The following is an 18,937-nucleotide window of genomic DNA, read 5'->3' as shown; positions in this document are numbered from 1 at the left end:
ACGAGGTCAGGAGATCGAGACCATCCTGGCTAACACGGTGAAACCCCGTCTCTACTAAAAATACAAAAAATTAGCCAGGCGTGGTGGCGGGCGCCTGTAGTCCCAGCTACTCAGGAGGCTGAGGCAGAAGAATGGTGTGAACCTGGGAGGCGGAGCTTGCAGTGAGCCGAGATTGAGCCACTGCACTCCAGCCTGGGCGACAGAGTGAGACTCTGTCTCCCAAAAAAAAAAAAAAAAAAAAATATATATATATATACACACACACACACACACACACACACACACACGCACGCACATACATCTCACACACACACACACACAGACACACACACACACACACACATATGGGGACTAGCAAATAATGCAGTCAATAATGACTAAAGGTGACCCCAAGAAACCAATGGGCTAAGATCTACTTTCCCTTCTTTGTATAGGCCAGAAGTACAAAAAGAAAAATCCAGAGATCCCCATTAGTGTTGCAGGTTTTTAAGAAGTCCTCTTGCAGGTCAGAGACAACGTCTAAGAAAGGAATCTAAATTTGATGATCTGGAAATGAAGCATTTTGGAGCAGCTAAGAGAGGCAGGAAGAAGGATCCTAATGTCCACAAACTATCACTGCCAGCTAGCTTCTTGTTCTGTTTAGAGTTGTATCCTAAGAACAAATCCACAAACACTGGCATCTTAACTGAAGACCAAAATGTTAGGTATGATGTAGAGTACCCTTACTGATAACAAAAAGCAGCCTTACAATAATAAGGGGGTAAAGCTCAATGAGAAATATGACAAGGATGTAGCCACTTCAGGAAAATTTGACAGTGCAAAGGAGAAAGCTAAAGTTCCTTGGGGGGAAAAAAAAAAAAGAGGAGTAGGATGAACAGGATGACAGACAGGAGAAAGAGAGGGTTAAAGGAAGGGGGTATGAAGAAGAAATAAAACTGAGCATCTCTTTCCATGTAAAATCCAGAGTAGGGAAAACATCATAATACACCTCTCTGAGAATGTCTCTGCCCTTACTAGATTTAATTACAAAATTAGAATATGATCACATGTCAGTTTCTCTAAAAGTGTTCTGAAAATCTTAAGTATGTGCATTAAACAGTCAGGGGTGTTATGAGCACCCAGAAACTGTATCAAACTTGCAAAAATGTCCAAACATTTTAAAGTAAGAACATCTTCTCAGCTGGGTGAGGTGGCTCACACCTGTAACCCCAGCACTTTGGGAGGCCAAGGCAGACGGGTCATCTGAGGTCAGGAGTTCAAGACCAGCCTGGCCAACATACTGAAACCTCATATCTACTAAAAATACAAAAATTAGCCAGGCATGTTGGCAGGCACTTGTAATACCAGCTACTTGGGGGGCTGAGGCAGGAGAATCACATGAACCTGGGAGGTGGAGGTTGCAGTGAGCCAAGATCATGCCACTGCACTCCAGCCTGGGAGACACAGCAAGACTCCGTCTCAAAAACGAAAGTTCTTTTCACTCTGTGCATCTTTCTCTTAGTCTTATAAAAGCATTTAATGATAGTCACAGCATTTTTCTTTTAAAGTGGTGTTCATTCTGGTTATTCACCAGTAATCCAGAGTTATCAGTTATATATATCTATAGCTTATAAAATAAATAAATCACAAACTCTTGAGGCCCATGATTGGAAGTGTGAGGCAATAAACATGTTACTTTTGGGAGGGGCCACATTCAAGGCATGTGGTGTGAAGCCAGATTCACTGAGGCTGCAGGTGGCAGCCATCTCACCCAGGTAGCTGCTGTAGCTGTTTTTGCAGTAACGTGTTTGCTGTATCATCTGCTGCCATTCTGAGCTTTGGAAAGGGGGGAGGGAGTCAGCTGCATGAAAAGTGTATGGATTGGTTTTTAAGTGGGATAGTTCTTAAACAAACTATAGACCTCTTCGTCAGTAAAGAGTTATTGCACCAAAGTCCAGAAACTGTTCCTACTTAACCTATGACATGTACAATAATATTCCAGTTTTGGCCTTGGGTTTTTGTTTGTGTGTTTATAACAATGAAATGTCTTTTAAAGGAAAATAAACCATACTATAATTTTTAAATCTATTCGAATAAAGCACAAATATTTTAGTGTTTTAGAGCTCTGAAAGCAAAGTGCAATTTACTTTAGAAATGCTTTGAGTTACACTGATTTAGGAGTAAAGAAGAACACAAACTTGTAAATGAGGCAAATACCATTCTCCCTCCTCTAGGGTTAAGCTAATTAAATTTACACACAAAGAGAAGAATCTGAAATTTTTCAGGCCTAGGAAAAATAAGTAAGAAGTAGTTTAATCCATTAACACGTGTAATAGTAACAATAATACCTCAACAGAAAGAAGGTGGTAAACCTAAAAATAAAGGATTGAGGGCAAACTTACAATATGCATTCAGTACTGTTCAGGAAAAAAGGGCAACGAAGCTGTAGGACCCACAAAAATAATCACTAAAGGGATGTTTTCTACTGCAGACACAGTGAGGTCTGATGAAAAAAGCTCTCACGCCTACCCACTCCCTGTCATTTTAATTCCATGTTTACCAGGCAACCTTCTAAACACTAATTCAGTTTCCCAGAAAGCTTAATAGAGGTCCACAATCCCCTGAAGTCAAAGAAGTTCTTAAAAACAAAAGCTCTTTCAGAACTTATCTGGCAGCAAATCCTGACATAAATGTACATAAAGTCTTTATTTACTCCACTTACTGTGAATATTCAAATTTTTTCTGCAGACATACTAATGTATTTGATTACAGTACCACCCTAGATCCCACTCGGTGTTTCTTAAAATTCACTAAATATTACTTCTTCACTTTCTAAAATCTAAAAAAAATACATGATTCTGAGACATATCTGAAAAGGTTTCCCCTGGAAGTAAATATAAATATTCTAACTCCTGGAAATGAGAGCCCTCTTCACAAGCCCCCACTCCCCTAGCAGCAGAAAAAATAAATCAGTATTCTTATTTATATTTCAATGTTATACAAATTTAAGTAATGTGAGTCTGCTGCCAAAAATCTGATCATTTCTGGTTATGTTGGTAAAGTCCAACTCCAGACTATAAGATCAATTACCAGACCCTATATGATCACAATCAAGGTGGCACATAGCTACCTAGAATATCTTTCTGAAGCCTACTGGTTTCTAAGCCAAGGGGAGCCTATTTACCTGTCTTCCACCCTCCCTGATTGATGTGTCAGAAGAAGACAAACCAACAGTTAACCTATATCCCCTCCCAATCCTACCTCACTGACAGCCTTCATTCACCTTCTATAAAACATAGGGGAAAAAGGTAAAAAATTAAAATGGAATACAGTTACTACATGGTAACTTAATTTTTATCAAATTTAGTGGAAAATCATTGAATATTTAAGTATGATCTGTAAGAAATTAAACATAAGATTATTCACATTGCTTAACAAGACATAATACTAGACCAGATAGATGACACTGATGATAGGTACCAAATAGATAACCATGATGATTTTCTGATCTCAGTTTAGAGCCCTATAGACTCCAAATATTTTTTCTAACGGTTACGTAAAAAAGAAATACTTAGATACATTTTGAATCTACACGTTTAGATTTTCATTTATTTCATTTACAAAACTCAACAAGAAATCATACAAAATATATAGATGACATTAACATTTATTAAACATGAAAAAGTCTGAGTTGAACCTACAAAATTTTAAAGGCAAAATTAGGAAATGTATATATAAGGCGCTAGTAGCTGACTCACTGAGCATGTCTGCCTCAAGTCCTTTGTGAAAAAGACTGGTAAAAATATTAACTACATCCAGTGCATTTTAAAAATTGTCCTTAATAACTTTCTTATAATTACTAAAGTAACACCTGATTTTTACAGATAATCAAGAAAATCTGAGGTACACAGAAGAAAATTACAATCAATCTTATCATCCAAAGATAAAGTTTATATGTAATTATGTTACAGTTTTTCCATGTTATTAGTTCTTCTGAAACACCATTTCTAATAACTGCATACTAACCCATCCATCATGTGGCTATAATTTCATTATTCTATCATTGGATATCTACAGTAATTTAAAATTCTCACTTTACTATAGATATGCAACACAGCAATTAACATCTTTGTACGTAAATCACAGAATGACCTATTAGAGTCTCTTTTGCCCATTTCTTTTAGTAAAGCTTTAAGTTTTTTCCTATTGAGCTAAATAAGTTCTTTTCATATTAATGTGACCAATCACATATTAATCCCAAACATTCTATTTGTCTTTATAATTTAACCAAGCCATTTGATTCAATAGTTTAACTCACCTCATAATATAATCACATCTTAAGAGGTAAAAAGGAACTTTTGGTCCATCCCTAATTCAGGGGTAAAATATATTTTCCCTCTTGAGACAACTAAGGCCCAAAGAAACCTTTCAAAAAATCACACACAAAACAAATATGTGCCTGATTATTTAAAAAGTTTAACAGTTACAGCCCAGCAATTTCCATTCTCATCTCATTACTGAAAACAATCTTTCAAATAGAAATATCAGGCAATTAGCACTTCAGGCTAATAAACATAAAAACAAATTATTACTTAAATAATATTTAGACACTGATTTACAAGATATTGTGCTAGAAGTGTAGAAGATAAAAAGATGATTAAGAAGATATCTTTTCCCTCAGGAAAAATATAAAAACTGAAGAATCAAATAGACAAATTGTAACAAGCAAACAAGCAAGATTCAAAGGAAAAAATCTGTAATCATCTTACAGCACAAAAGTTTAATAGTTTTTTGGAAACACTAATTTTAAATCTTGACTAGACCTTCATAAACTAAGAACACAACATTTTTGTCCTATCTAGCTATATGATACTGATAGCAGCAGGAGACAGACAAATTCCTAGGCAGACAAGGGCAGGTCCAATGAAACTGACTTTCAAGCCAAAAACAGCCTGGAGCCTGAAAACCGAGCTGCCAGTTCCTGGCAAAGTCCATGACCAGATAGAGAACTTCCTCCCTGCCTTTTCAGCCAATCAAATGGTGTTTTTTCCAGGCCTGCCCATGGACCAATCAGCATACACTCCTCCATTCTGAGCCCATAAAAACCCCTGGACTCAGACACAGGTGGAGACTATCCCCCTTCAGGTAGGGAATACTATCCACTTCAGGTCCCCTCTTGTGTGGAGACTGGAATAAAACTCTTCTCCACCTTACTCACTATGTGGTTGTCCCCATAACCCTATTCTTCCTGGATGCGGGACAAGAACCTGGGACCTGCCAAATGGTCGTAGCCCTCCCACCCTCTGCCATCACAGGGCTGCGGCCACACGTGACAGGAAGCATTGGAGGGGTGGGGCCAGCCCAAGAGCCACAGGCCAGAGCAGGGCAGTGGGAATGAACAAGCTGTAACATGAACAAGCTGATCAGCTCACCCAGCTGCAGGCAGTGACACACTCCCACCAGCTGGACTACAAAAGAAGAGCTAGGACCCTTCTGGGGGACCAGACCCCAGGACTTCCCGAGCCAGAGCTGTAACATGCCCCAGTTTGGTAGGCTGCAGACAGCAGAAATAAGCTGTCTTGTTTACTCATTGTCGGTGTTTTTGTGATGGTTTATTGAATGGTGATTTGTCACACATATATGTTTTCTACATCAAGGTTTTTTTTTTTTTTTTTAGACTGGGTATCACTCCGTCACCGAGGCTGGAGTGCAGTGGCACTGTGTGGGCTCACTGCAACCACCTTCTCCAGGATTCAAGCAATTCTCCTGCCTTAGCCTCCTGAGTAGCTGGGATTACAGGCATCCACCACCACATCCGGATAGTTTTTATATTTTTAATAGAGACGAGATTTCACATGCTGTAATGCCCCCTTTGGGGCTCCACAGTTCCTCGCATCTCCAAGTTTTCGGGCTCCACTGCCTTCTCCTCATCCTGATGCTGGCACCCAAGGTGGAAGCTGCTGTGGTATGCCTGGTCCAGCCACAGCCTCGCACGAAGCCAGTGCCTGAAGCTGCCCATCCCACCGCAGACCCACCACAGCAGCCAGCACACCTGGCTGTGCACCATGGCTGGATCCCACACTCGCTTGCTCACATATCCTTTGCTGCTCTGTGCCTGGCTCGCCCTCAGCAGACATGGGATCCAGGCTGGTAGCATAAGCTGAGCGCAGCCTGCCAGCCTGGGTGGGCAGAGCATAGAGACTAGTGGCCAGCTCAGAACTAAGTGAGGCCTGGGCAGGGGTGCTGCCGGCCAGAGATTTCTGGCTGGCAAAGCGGCACTGAAAAAATCCTGCATCAGTATCAAACAAGTCATTTTACTTCTATAGGCCTTAGTTTCTTCATCTTTAACATGAAAGGATTTCCAAGTAAAGATGGCAGACTGGGGATATCACGAGAGCTTATTTTTTATCTCCTCTCCCTTCCAAAGCCAGACTAAACTAGCAGTAAAGCAATTTTTAAAAGGAATAATCCATAATGACTAGAGAACAAGAATGGAGCCATTAGCAGCCAAGCAATTTCAACAGATTTTCTGAAGATGGAAAGCAGAACAGTGTAAATAATGAACCAAAGCAGACACAGGAGGCCACAGTTCCGAATACAAACAGAGAATACACTTAAAGAGACAGCCAAACTGCCAAAACCAAGTGAACTCAAACACCAGGTAGGTAGGAAATCAGGAGCAGGAAGCAAATACAGGCAAGATTAACCTAAAAGTAATTTCCCAATCAACAAGCCTATCTATATGTATAGTTCTTGGTTAGTTTCTTATTGTTTTATTCATAAATATGGACAGATAACCAAAATTCTCAAGACATTTGGAACATGAAAGAGACCAAAATAAAACAAAAAATGTCCCCTTTGAAGAGATAAACAGGAAAGAGTACACTGCTTTTTATTATAAGCCCTTCTACACTAATTAATTATTCTAAGCCATATGTATCTACTACTTCAATTTAAGAAAAAAGTTAATCTCTGCTACTAAGGAGGCTGAGGCAGGAGGATCACTTGAGCCTAGGAGTTCGAGAGCAGACTGGGCAACAGAGCAAGATCCTATCTCAAAGGAAAAAAAAAGTGCACCAACTGAAAAACAGGGGCTTAACAAAACAATCAGAAGCTCTCTTTCAGTTAATTCTACTCCCTATGTAAAACTTCAGTTGTATACAGTGTTCTTATTAAGCAACCATAAACTACATTTATTTAATAAAATAGTAATAAGGAAAATTAATATTATCCACATATTCTTTCCCATATTTTTCATGAATTTTAATTTCTTTTTATTTTCCTTTCATGCATATATAATTTTTATCACCTTAAATTTGTACAAAAACTTCAAATTTTAAGATTGCACATTACCTATACACATACCTCTACACACACAATGTTTCAGAACTATGACCACTAGCATATTAACATTATCATGCTATTACCATTATTTTAAATCTGAAAATTTTGAATCATTTAAATAAAAGAAACATACACCTGTCTTCCAGTAACATACCATAAAGTCAATAATATATGCAATATTGATCAAACTATAATTTTTACTTTGTTACTTTATCATGAGCATTGTTATAACACATTTTATAACACCAATAAAAATTAAATATTCCTAAGTAGTAATATCTTAAAAGCTTCACTAATAATGCAAGTGTTTCAGACATGAAAAAGTAGAAAACATTCTATGTTGCAAGGATAAACTGTTTTGTATCTTCTCTTGTACCCCTTTTTAAACCATTAGTTAAGGACCACAGTATGGTTAAAATGTTTTAAAAGTTAAAACTTGACTTTGGGAGGCCGAGGCAAGTGGATCACTTGGTGTCAGGAGTTTGAGACCAGCCTGGCCAACATGGTGAAACCCCATCTCTACTAAAAATATAAAAACTAGCCAGATGTGGTGGACGCCTGTAATCCCAGCTACTTGGGAGGCTGAGGCAGGAGAACTGCTTGAACCCAGGAGAAGGAGGTTGCAGTGAGCCGACGCAGTGCCACTGCACTCCAGCCTCAGCGACAGAGGGAGACTCAGTCAAAAAAAAAAAAAAAAAAAAAAACTTGATGTAGAAAACATATATGTGTGACAAATCACCATTCAATAAACCATCACAAAAACACCGACAATGAGTAAAATGCAGAATTAACAATTTGACTGAGACCCAACTGACCCACTCATACTTGGGAAATGTATCCCTGACACATACAATCCATTCACTAAACAGAGAAGCAATTCATTCCTTTTCTCCTGCAAGCTAAAACTATAAATCAAGATGTTCAAGAGTAACAAAATGAGGTCCACAAATTAGGTAAGAGAAGCATACATTTATAAAAACTAGCCAAATACCCATCCAATCCTAATTATACTAAGGAAACTCTAAATATAGGTGACATGCCACTTAATAATACATGTGTATATATGATACATACATACAAATGATGATCCACTTCAAAATCATATATAAGAAAAAGACATCCCATGAGAGTTACAAAGGAATGGCTACCTGAAGTCTGAAGCATTTCCTCCTCTCGAACAAATGCAACAAAATAAAATGGGAAAGAAAATGTTATAATAACTAAATTATCACACAAGTATAAAGAATTGAACATAATCAAGAAGAGCAGTTACAGTCAGTCCGTGATACCGGGATCATTGCCTTTACTTGAAGAGAAGAAAAAGAAAATGGATTCTCTTGGATCTGGCAAGATAGCCAAATAGGAACAGCTCTGGTTGGCAGCTCCAAGCAAGACCAATACATAAGGCAGGTGATTTCTCCATTTCCAACTAAGGTACCCTGTTCATCTCACTGGGACTGGTTAGGCAGTGGGTGCAGCCCATGGAGGGCGAGCAGAAGCAGCATGGGGTGTTGCCTCACCCAGGAAGCGCAAGGAGTTGCGGGGAGGTGAGGGGCTCCCTTTCCCAGCCAAGGGAAGCCATGAGGGACTGTGCTATCCGGCCCAGATACTATGCTTTTCCCATGATTTTTGTAATCCGAAGACCAGGAGATTCCCTCGTGTGTCTACACCACCAAGGCCCTGGGTTTCAAGCTCAAAGCTGGGCAGCTATTCGGGCAGACACCGAGCTAGCTGCAGGGTTTTTTTTTTTTTTTTTCGGTACTCCAGTGGTGCCTGGAACCCAGGCAAGACAGAACCGTTCACTTGCCTGGAAAGGGAGCTGAAGCCAGGGAACCAAGTGGTCTCGCTCAGCAGGTCCCACTCCCATGAAGGCCAGCAAGCTAAGAACCACTGGCTTGAATTTCTCGCTGCCAGCACAAGTCTGAAGTCGACCAGGGATGACACAGCTTGGTGGGGGGAGGGGCATCTGCCATTACTGAGGCTTGAGTAGGCTGTTTTCCTCTGACAGTACTAAGGACTGGGAGGAACTCAACGTAACGCAGCAAAGCAGCTGTGGCCAGACTGCCTCTCTAGATTCCTCCTCACTGGGCAGGGCATCTCTGAAACAAAGGCAGCAGCCCCAATCAGGGGCTTACAGATAAAACTCCCATCTCCCTGGGCCACAGCACCTGGGGGAAGGGGCAGCTGTGGGCACAACTTCAGCAGACTTAAATGTTCCTGCCTGACGGCTCTGAAGAGAGCAGCGGATGCTGACAAGGAGGGCTTTCGCAGGACGGTGCTTGAGCTCCACTAAGGGACAGACTGCTTCCTCAACTGGGTCTTTGACCCCCATGCCTCCTGACTGGAAGAGACCTCCCAACAGGGGTTGACAGACACCTCATACAGGAGAGCTCTGGCTGGCATCAGGCTGGTGCCCCTCTGGGACGAAGCTTCCAGAGGAAAGAGCAGGCAGCAATCTTTGCTGTTCTGCAGCCTCTGCTGGTAATACCCAGGCAAATAGGGTCTGGAGTAGACCTCCAGCAAACTGCAGCAGATCTGCAGAAGAGGGGCCTATTAGAAGAAAAACAAACAGAAAGCAGCAACATGAACAGCAACAAAAAAGACCCTCACACAAAACCCCATCCAAAGTAAATCCATGAAGATGAGGAAACACCAGCACAAAAATGCTGCAAATTCCAAAAACCAGAATGCTTCTTCTCCTCCAAATGATTGCAACTCCTCTCCAGCAAGGACACAAAACTGGATGGAGAATGAGTTTGATGAATTGACAGAAGTAGGCTTCAGAAGGTAGGTAATAACAAACTCCTCTGAGCTACGGAGGCATGTTCTAACCCAATGCAAGGAAGCTAAGAACTCTGACAAAAGGTTACAGGAACTGCTAACACAATAACCAGTTTAGAGAAGAACATAAATGACCTGATGGAGATGAAAAACACAGCATGAAAACTTCATGAAGCATACACAAGTATCAAGAGCCAAATCAACAAAGAGGAAGAAAGGATATCAGAGATTGAAGATCAACTTACTGAAATAAGGCATGGAGACAATATTAGAGAAAAAAGAATGAAAAGGAATGAACAAAGACTCCAAGAAATATGGGACTATGTGAAAAGACCAAGCCTACGATTGATTGAGGTTCCTGAAAGTGGTTTCTTTGAAACCAATGAGAACAAAGAGACAATGTACCAGAATCTCTGGGACACAGCTAAAGCAGTGTTTAGAGGGAAATTTATAGCACTAAATGCCCACATCAGAAAGTGAGAAACGCCTAAAATTGACACCCTACGGTCACAATTAAAAGAACTAGGCAAACAAGAGCAAACAAATTCAAAAACTAGCAGAAGACAAGAAATAACTAAGATCAGACCAGAACTGAAGGAGAGACATGAAAAACCCTTCAAAAAAATCCATGAATCGGAGCCGTTTTTTTGAAAAGATTAACAAAATAGACCGCTGGCCAGACTAATAAAGAAGAAAAGAGAGAAGAATCAAATAGACACAATAAAAATGATAAAGCATTCCCTTTGAAAACCAGCACTAGACAATGATGACCTCTCTCACCACTCCTATTCAACGTAGTATTGGAAGTTCTGGCCAGAGCAATCAGGCAAGAGAAAAAAATAAAACGTATTCAAATAAGAAGAGAGGAAGTCAAACTGTTTGCAGATGACCTGATTGTGTATTTAGAAAACCCCATCGTCTCAGCCCAAAAACTCCTTAAGCTGATAAACAACTTCAGCAAAATCTCAGGATATGAAATCAATGTGCAAAAATCACATGCATTCCTATACACCAATAATAGACAAACAGAGAGCCAAATCATGAGTGAACTCCCATTCACAATTGCTACAAAGAAAATAAAATACCTAGAAATACAACTTACAAGAGACACAAAGGACCTCTTCAAGGAGAACTACAAACCACTGCTCAAAGAAGTAAGAGAGGACACAAACAAATGGAAAAACCTTCCATGCTAATGGATGGGAAGAATTAATATTGCTAAAATGGCCATACTGCTCAAAGTAATTTATACATTCAATGCTATTCCTATCAAGCTACCATTGACTTTCTTCACAGAACTAGAAAAAAAATTACTTTAAATTTCATGTGGAACCAAAAAGGAGCCCGCATAGCCAAGACAATCCTAAGCAAAAAGAACAAGGCTCAAGGCATCACGCTACCTGACTTCAAACTATTACTACAAGGTTACAGTTACCACAAGAGCATGATACTGGCACCAAAACAGACATATAGATGAATAGAACAAAACAGAGGCCTCAGAAATAACACCACACATCTGCAACCATCTCATCTTTGACAAACCTGACAAAAACAAGCAATGGGGAAAGGATTCCCTATTTAATAAATGGTGCTGGGAAAACTGGCTAGCCATATGCAAAAAACAGAAACTGGACCCCTTCCTTACACTTTACAACCAACTCAAGATGGATTAAAGACTTAATCGTAAAACCTAAAACCATAAAAACCCTAGAAGAAAACCTAGACAATACCATTCAGGACATAGGCATGGGCAAAGACTTCATGACTAAAACACCAACAGCAATGGCAACGAAAGCCAAAATTGACAAATGAGATCTAATTAAATTAAAGAGCTTCTGCTCAGCAAAAGAAACTACCATCAGAGTGAACAGGCAACCTACAGAACGGGAGAAAATTTTTGCAATCTATCCATCTGACAAAGGGCTACTATCCAGAATCTACAAGGAACTTAAACAAATTTACAAGAAAAAAAAAAAACCCATCCAAAAGTGGGCGAAGGATATGAACACACCCTTCTCAAAAAAAAAAAAAAGACATTTATGCAGTAAACAAACATAAGAAAAGCTCATCATCACTGGTCATTAGAGAAATGTAAATCAAAACCACAATGAGATACCATCTCACGCCAGTTAGAATGGCAATCATTAAAACATCAGGAAACTACAGATGCTGGAGAGGATGTGGAGAAATAGGAACACTTTTACACTGTTGGTGGGAGTGTAAATTACTTCAACCATTGTGGAAGACAGTGTGGCAATTCCTCAAGGATCTGGAACCAGAAATACCATTTGACCCAGCAATCCCACTACTGGGTATATACCCAAAGGATTATAAATCATTCTACTATAAACACACATGCACATGTATGTTTACTGCAGCACTATTTACAATAGCAAAGACTTGGAACCAACCCAAATATCCATCAACGATAGGCTGGATACCGAAAATGTGGAACATATACATCATGGAATACTATGCAGCCATAAAAAAGAATGAGTTTATGTCCTTTGCTGGGACATGGATGAAGCTGGAAACCATCATCCTCAGCAAACTAATACAGGAACAGAAAACCAAAAACCTCATGTTCTCACTCCTAAGTGGGAATTGAACAATGAGAACACATGGACACAGGGAGGGGAACATCACATACCTGGGCCTTTCAGGGGGTGGGGGGAAAGAGGAGGTAGAGCATTAGGACAAATACCAAATGCATGCAGGGCTTAAAACCTACATGATGGGTTGATAGGTATAGCAAACCACCATGGTACATGTATACCTATGTAACAAACCTGCATGTTCAGCACATGTATCCCAGAACTTAAAATAAAATTTTAAAAAGTAAAAAAGTACTTCCATTGCAGCAGTAGCTAGGAACAACTACATACAGATGGAAAAAAAAAAAAGAAAAGAAAAATTCCAGCACTATACAACTACTTTCATTCTCTTAACTCCTAAATGTTAATGTTCTATCTTTGACCAACTTATACCCAAAAGGGGCACTTCCACCCACATCTTTAGTCTACCAACTACAGGTAATAACTTCCAAATCTCTGTCTCCAGCCACAATCTGTCTCCTGAGTATCAGACCAACACATATCTCTCTGAACATCTTCACTTAACTGTCCATGAGAATTTTTAGCACAAAGCACACCAAACTGAACTCATTCCCAATCTGTTCCTCCTATATGACTATTCTGGTTACTGGTATCATGCTCCAAACCTGAGAGTTATCCATTCTGTTTTCTTCTCCTTCACTAATACTGTATTAGTCAACAAGTCAAGTTCCACTCTACTTTAAAAGAAAAAAAAAAAAAACCTCATAAATCTATATCCTCCATTTTCAAGGCCTCTGTCTTGGTTTAGGTATATACCTATTTGAGACTGGGATTACTACATCCATCTACTAACAGTTCTCCCTACTTTCAATCAGGCTTTTACTTCAATTATTCCTCTATATTGCTGCTAACATGATCTTTCTAGAATGTAATTTAAGTCATTTCCACCATTTACAAAGCCTTCAATGATTCAAAATAAAAACTTAAAACCCTTAGCAGAATATCCTGTCTCCTGCCACCTCTTTAGCTTTATTTCTTCCTCATCTTCTGCGTAAAACACTAAATTCCAAACACAACACTGCAGTTCCTGGAAAAAAGTCATACTGTTTCGGCCGGGCGCGGTGGCTCACGCCTGTAATCCCAGCATTTGGGAGGCCCAGGTGGGCGGATCATAAGGTCGGGAGATCAATACCATCCTGGCTAACACAGTGAAACCCCATCTCTACTAAAAATACAAAAAATTAGCTGGGCGCAGTGGTGGGCGCCTGTAGTCCCAGCTACTCAGGAGGCTGAGGCAGGAGAATGGCATGAACCTGGGAGGCGGAGTTTGCAGTAAGCTGAGATCACGCCACTGCACTCCAGCCTGGGCGATAGAGCGAAGACTCCATCTCAAAAACAAAAAAAAAAAAAACAAAAAAAAAAAACCAAAAAACCTCATACTGTTTCTTACCTCGATGCCTCTGCATATGTTATTCCCTCTTTCTAGAAGGTTCTCTTTTTGATATGGTAAATTTGACCTACTCAAGACTTAACCATCTTGTGTAGCTTTCAACTTCCTCCATTACTCCTTGATCCCACAGCATTTAATAGACACTCTTTCATACTATATTACAATTGTCTATCCTTTTCTACTAAACTTTGAACACTGTGAAAGTAAAATACATTTATTATTCATTTTTGTGTCTTAAATGCCTAGCACATTGTCTGGAAATAGTAAGTGATCAAAACTATCTGAAAAATGTTTCTGCCTTTTTCTAGAAACAAAACAGTTAAAAAATATTCCACAACAGACACAGAACAGGTACTTAAGAAAAACAACAGGAACTAGGCAAGAGACAACTCAGAAAAATACATGGGACAGAAAAAGAAAAATAAATGAAGTCTCTTCAGGTAGCTCCTGAGAGCACACTCTTCTGTGCTCTTTGTCTCATATTCTCTCACCAACATGTTTTATCTATTTAATCTTCAATGCTTATTCTGATTTCCTAGAAAATAAGTGGTAGGCACAGAGAGAAAAATAGAAAGCCTTAAACAACTATTCCTCAAAAATGAGCACAGTCAGAACTTTTAAAATGCCGTAGTAAGACCCCCGATCTATGGAGTCTCAATTTCACTTCTAATAGTTACCTCCTAAGAGTTGAGATTACAATGCACATTTTACAAACCAGTTATCGTACATTCTCCCTTCATAGATTCCCAAAAACTCTTCCTGAACTTAAATTTTTTCTCTTATGGTGAGAAATTACATAAATTCACTATTTACTCTGTAAACATGCTTTTACATTTCTATACTTAAAATACTTTCCTTCCACGTTGCCCCACTTGGTCCCTGAACAAAAACTTCCCCCAGCTGAATTCTCTCTACTATTATATTGCCAGTTTTCCAGGATCACAAATGAAGAGAATTAGAGAACTCTCTTCCAAATATGGGGCCTCTAGTGTTCTTGATCCCTTTCTTTTCTCCAGTGGCAACTATACCCAACGTTGCCCCTGATGTAAAACAAATTCAGAATCCATTCAAGTCCATAATTAAGTTTAGATGTGTGTGAGGGACTGGGATCGTGTAGACCAGACTCTACATATTAAGTTAGAAGTCCACAACAGTTACTCTTAGTTTGATGTAAACGTAACCATTAAGTTATATTCAAACAACAGGTGCCAAGTTTGTAATGAGCACTAACTGAAAAATAAAGGCATAAAAATCCATGTCATGTCTAGCAGTATCTAGTATAACATAATCATAAATTAGATATTTTGAAGAACAGGTGGGGGGGAAAAAGACTTGGAAGTCTTAAGTATATTACTCTCTGGTGATAAAACTTCTCTAGCCAGGTTTTTCTCCCCTCCAATCATTAGCATCTTCTCTAGCCCTACTCTTTCAAAAAGACCAGTTCTTCAAGTATCTTTCCTGGTAGGATCCAACCTACCACGTCTAACTCCCAGGCTTAGATTAAGCTGCCTTGTAACTGTGATAATTATGTTATACAAAGAGATTACTACGTTTAAATTTATCTTTACCCAGCTGCCAATTCATTAATTCCAGTAGATCAACAATGGTCGGGGAAGACAGGAAAACTGTTCTCTACAGACGCGTGTCAACTAATAAATTCAGAAGGAATGAGGGAAACAAAAGAGCCACCATTGGAACACAATGGCAAAATCCATCAATGAATGCTAAGACTAGTAATCATCTGAAAGCCTGAGAGTACCTACCCCCAAATATGTATTAATTTCAAAAGAGAAAATAGTAAGTTTACAGTAGAGACACCACGTGGATTATTACTTTAACCAAGTGATCACAGTTATCATCACCAGTAAGAAGTCATGTTAGTATCATGTGCCCTCTGACATTAAGTGTTGAGGCGAACACTTTGCCCATGTGGTATTCTTACTGAGATGTTATGAAATGCATAACATCAATTTAACCATGAGAAAACATCAGACAAACTCAAATTGAGATACATTCCACAAAGTAACAGACTAGTACTTTTCAAAAAAGTATCAAGGTAATGAAAGATAGGAAGACGGAGCAACTGTCACAGAATGGAGATTAAGGAAAAAGAATAACTAAATGCATTGTAGAATCCCCATTGGATCCTGGAACAGAATAAGGACATTAGTGAAAGGGCTGGCAAATTGTAAATAAAGTCTGTAGTTAACAGCATTGTAGCAATGTTAATTTCTTGTTTTTGATCACTGTACCCTGATTATGTAAGATGCTAACACAGGGGGAAACAGGATGTAGGGAACTCTCTACTGTCTTTCTAACTCTTCTGTATGTCTAAAATTATTCCAAGTTTTAAAAAGCTCAATCCCAGTTACCAAGCCTACTAGGTCAACTAACACATTTTTTATTTATGCAGTTCTTTTTTATACCCTCTCTCTCTCCTACAACCTATTATCAATTTTTTCTGAGTTGCTACTCTTTCCTACTTTTTCCCAAAGAGGCTTCCATGTGCTTACATTTTAAGACTTCTTAAAATAACCTTATTTCCTCCCAACAGAGAGCTACTCTCCTTCCTGTACGGCCACAAAATGACCTACCATAAAAGATGTAAAATACTTTAATACAGTATCTTATAGCTTCATAACAATTAGCAATACACAAGTGCTTGTAAATACATTTACATACGTAAATTTTGAGATGCATAAACACTTATTATTTTATAGATGAGAAAATAAGACTAGAAAAATTATGTGATCTGACACTTAAAATGTCAGAGACTGAATCTGAATCCAGTTCTTCAGGCTCCAAAACCAAATTACCTTATTAAAATAAAGTGCTCTGTGTCTGAAAAGCTTCAACTTCCCTGCTTCAGGCAAGCGAATTACATCAAATACACCATGATTTTCAAGAAAGTTCTAAATTTCCCGATTGTTCTAAATGTCGCTCTTAAAAGCTTCAATAATTATACAAAAAAGAATTCTGGAAGTCAGTGCAAAGTTTGTGTTCACCCTAACCATTCTTTTGATTTTTTTTTACAAAGCCGACTTCAGTCATCTCCCCTTCAACTATTTAGGCCGAAGAACCGCTTACCTCTATTTTCATATCAGCTCCAACTCATGCTTTCAAATATCTGAGCTGTCATTCCAATCTCTAATTCCATTCATTTATTTATATTTGCAAATGAAAACTAGGGGCAATCCTGCAGGGCCCCGAGCCCCACGAAATACTCTGAATATCTTTTTTCCTTTACTCAAAAAAAAAAAAAAAAAGTCAAACGACTTATTGCTAATGCATGTGTCTGTTTAATATTTAGCGCAATGGTGCAGGGCGAAGTAACAATGACTTGAGACCGGAGGAAACAACTTTCGCCTGACTTAACTGCCACCAGCATTTTTCTCCTTCACAGTTTGTAATCTCCAACCTTTTGTAATCTTTTTCATGTTACCTGATTTCTGTATCAGCCAAGTGAGAAAATTATTTAAACCCAACCAAAAGCGCTGAGATTAAATAATAAATTACGGAAATAAGCCTTTAAATTTGAAAACTAATAAGAGAACCATTAATTTATTAATGGGCGCTTACTAGGTGCAAAGGCACTTAAAAGGACAAAAAGCTCCTGAGGTTTTTGAGCACTTAACGACGACTTGCTCATTTTTGTGACCTCCTACCCTCACCCTTTGAGCACCTGGCATCTGCAGGAGCTCAAAAGTTGAACTGAATTGGGGACGCTGAAGTAACAGGATCTGCTCTAGTGAGAAACCCGTGGGAGAAACTTTGGAAAGTGTTACCTGAACAGCATTACGCTATTTCAAACAGAACAGGTTGCTGCTCTGTTTAACCCCGCATGGGGGACTGGAACTAGAAACCTGGACACCGAGGAACCCCAAAGGTCTTGGGCAAAGAGAAGGGAGCGTCACTTGCCTCCCATTCTTGCAAGAAACGCTGTGCCTCGTCAGAACCAACGGTCTTATGTCTCCTAAATTCGTCTTTCACGTACTGGTCGCCCAGGGATTTGAGGTCCGGGGGCAGAACACGGTGCAGCTGCAAGACGCGCTTGTACAATGCCCGGACTCGAGAAACGTGCCGCCCCGGCATAGCGCCCCACGCCGACCGCCGACTGCGCCTGCGCAGAGGGACGGCGCGTTCCCGCACTTCTGCGAACTTGCGTATTAGTGAACCGGAAGGCAGACGAAAGAGGGCGCGCGACCTCTATCCGGTTTGGTCCCTTGCACAATCAGGTCCTCCCGGAAACCCAAGCTCCGCTGCGGGCGGAAAACGGGTCGGTCCTTCTCTAGGAGGGGCGTGGCCCTCGTGGAGTCGCGCCTGCGCCTCGTCGTGGCTTCTTCTGGCCTGCGTCCTGACGACACAGGCCTTGAAAGAGAGAGGTCTGTGGTGGGCCGTTGTCATTTCTCAGTCCCACTCCACTGTCTTTTTCATTCAACTTCGTTTCTGTCCTCCTACCAAAGGCCTGAGAAAAGCTTCGTTAAGATCGGGCTCCTCCGGGATTCCTTCCATGGTTCCCAACCCATTTGAGGCATTTAGAGTATTACTGCACCCTGCTTTAGGGATCAGAGTGAGATTAATCTCGCCATCCACTAGCTCACCAACCCACGCTCTTTGCACAGCGCTGTTCTCCCAATTTATACTCTGGGCATGGGCTCTTCCTTGCAAACAACCCAAGTGAGCCCAGAGCTGGCGGACTCCTTAGCCAAAGTCAAGTTGGCTGCTGAAGGATCCTTGGGAAGAGTTTTAAACGTATTGTTTCCAGGACCACGACCCTGGAGATTCTGGTTAAATAGTCTAGGATAATAAGAACGAGGAATCTAGAAAT

At 39.9% G+C, this 18,937-nt stretch overlaps 1 protein-coding gene and 1 pseudogene across 1 annotated transcript in view, besides 3 other annotated features; one reads left to right on the top strand and one right to left on the bottom strand.

Annotated features, from left to right (window-relative positions):
- Positions 1-18,227, bottom strand: part of SDHAF3 (succinate dehydrogenase complex assembly factor 3) — a 64,066-nt gene extending 45,839 nt beyond the window's left edge. The window contains exon 1 of the mRNA NM_020186.3: positions 18,028-18,227. Within this exon, the coding sequence (NP_064571.1) occupies positions 18,028-18,201 (174 nt within the window). The 5' untranslated portion in view covers positions 18,202-18,227. The remainder of the gene's footprint in view (positions 1-18,027) is intronic.
- Positions 364-910, top strand: HMGB3P21 (high mobility group box 3 pseudogene 21; annotated as a pseudogene).
- Positions 1,419-1,570: a silencer, noted in NCBI's record as "fragment chr7:96763667-96763818 (GRCh37/hg19 assembly coordinates)". NCBI's record gives its function as "represses an EF-1alpha promoter that drives an FKBP-Casp9 reporter gene in an ReSE screen in phorbol 12-myristate 13-acetate-treated (for megakaryocytic differentiation) K562 erythroleukemia cells {active_cell/tissue: K562(+PMA)}" and the evidence as "EXISTENCE:reporter gene assay evidence [ECO:0000049][PMID:32094911]".
- Positions 18,050-18,139: an enhancer, noted in NCBI's record as "active region_26301". NCBI's record gives its function as "activates an Ori minimal core promoter by ATAC-STARR-seq in GM12878 lymphoblastoid cells {active_cell/tissue: GM12878}" and the evidence as "EXISTENCE:reporter gene assay evidence [ECO:0000049][PMID:35858748]".
- Positions 18,490-18,569: an enhancer, noted in NCBI's record as "active region_26300". NCBI's record gives its function as "activates an Ori minimal core promoter by ATAC-STARR-seq in GM12878 lymphoblastoid cells {active_cell/tissue: GM12878}" and the evidence as "EXISTENCE:reporter gene assay evidence [ECO:0000049][PMID:35858748]".

The sequence above is a fragment of the Homo sapiens genome, chromosome 7 (assembly GCF_000001405.40).
Source record: "Homo sapiens chromosome 7, GRCh38.p14 Primary Assembly".
In the NCBI taxonomy this organism is placed as follows: Eukaryota; Metazoa; Chordata; class Mammalia; order Primates; family Hominidae; genus Homo; species Homo sapiens.
The sequence above is the reverse complement of the archived record's forward strand: the minus strand, read 5'-3'. Positions and strand labels throughout refer to the sequence as shown.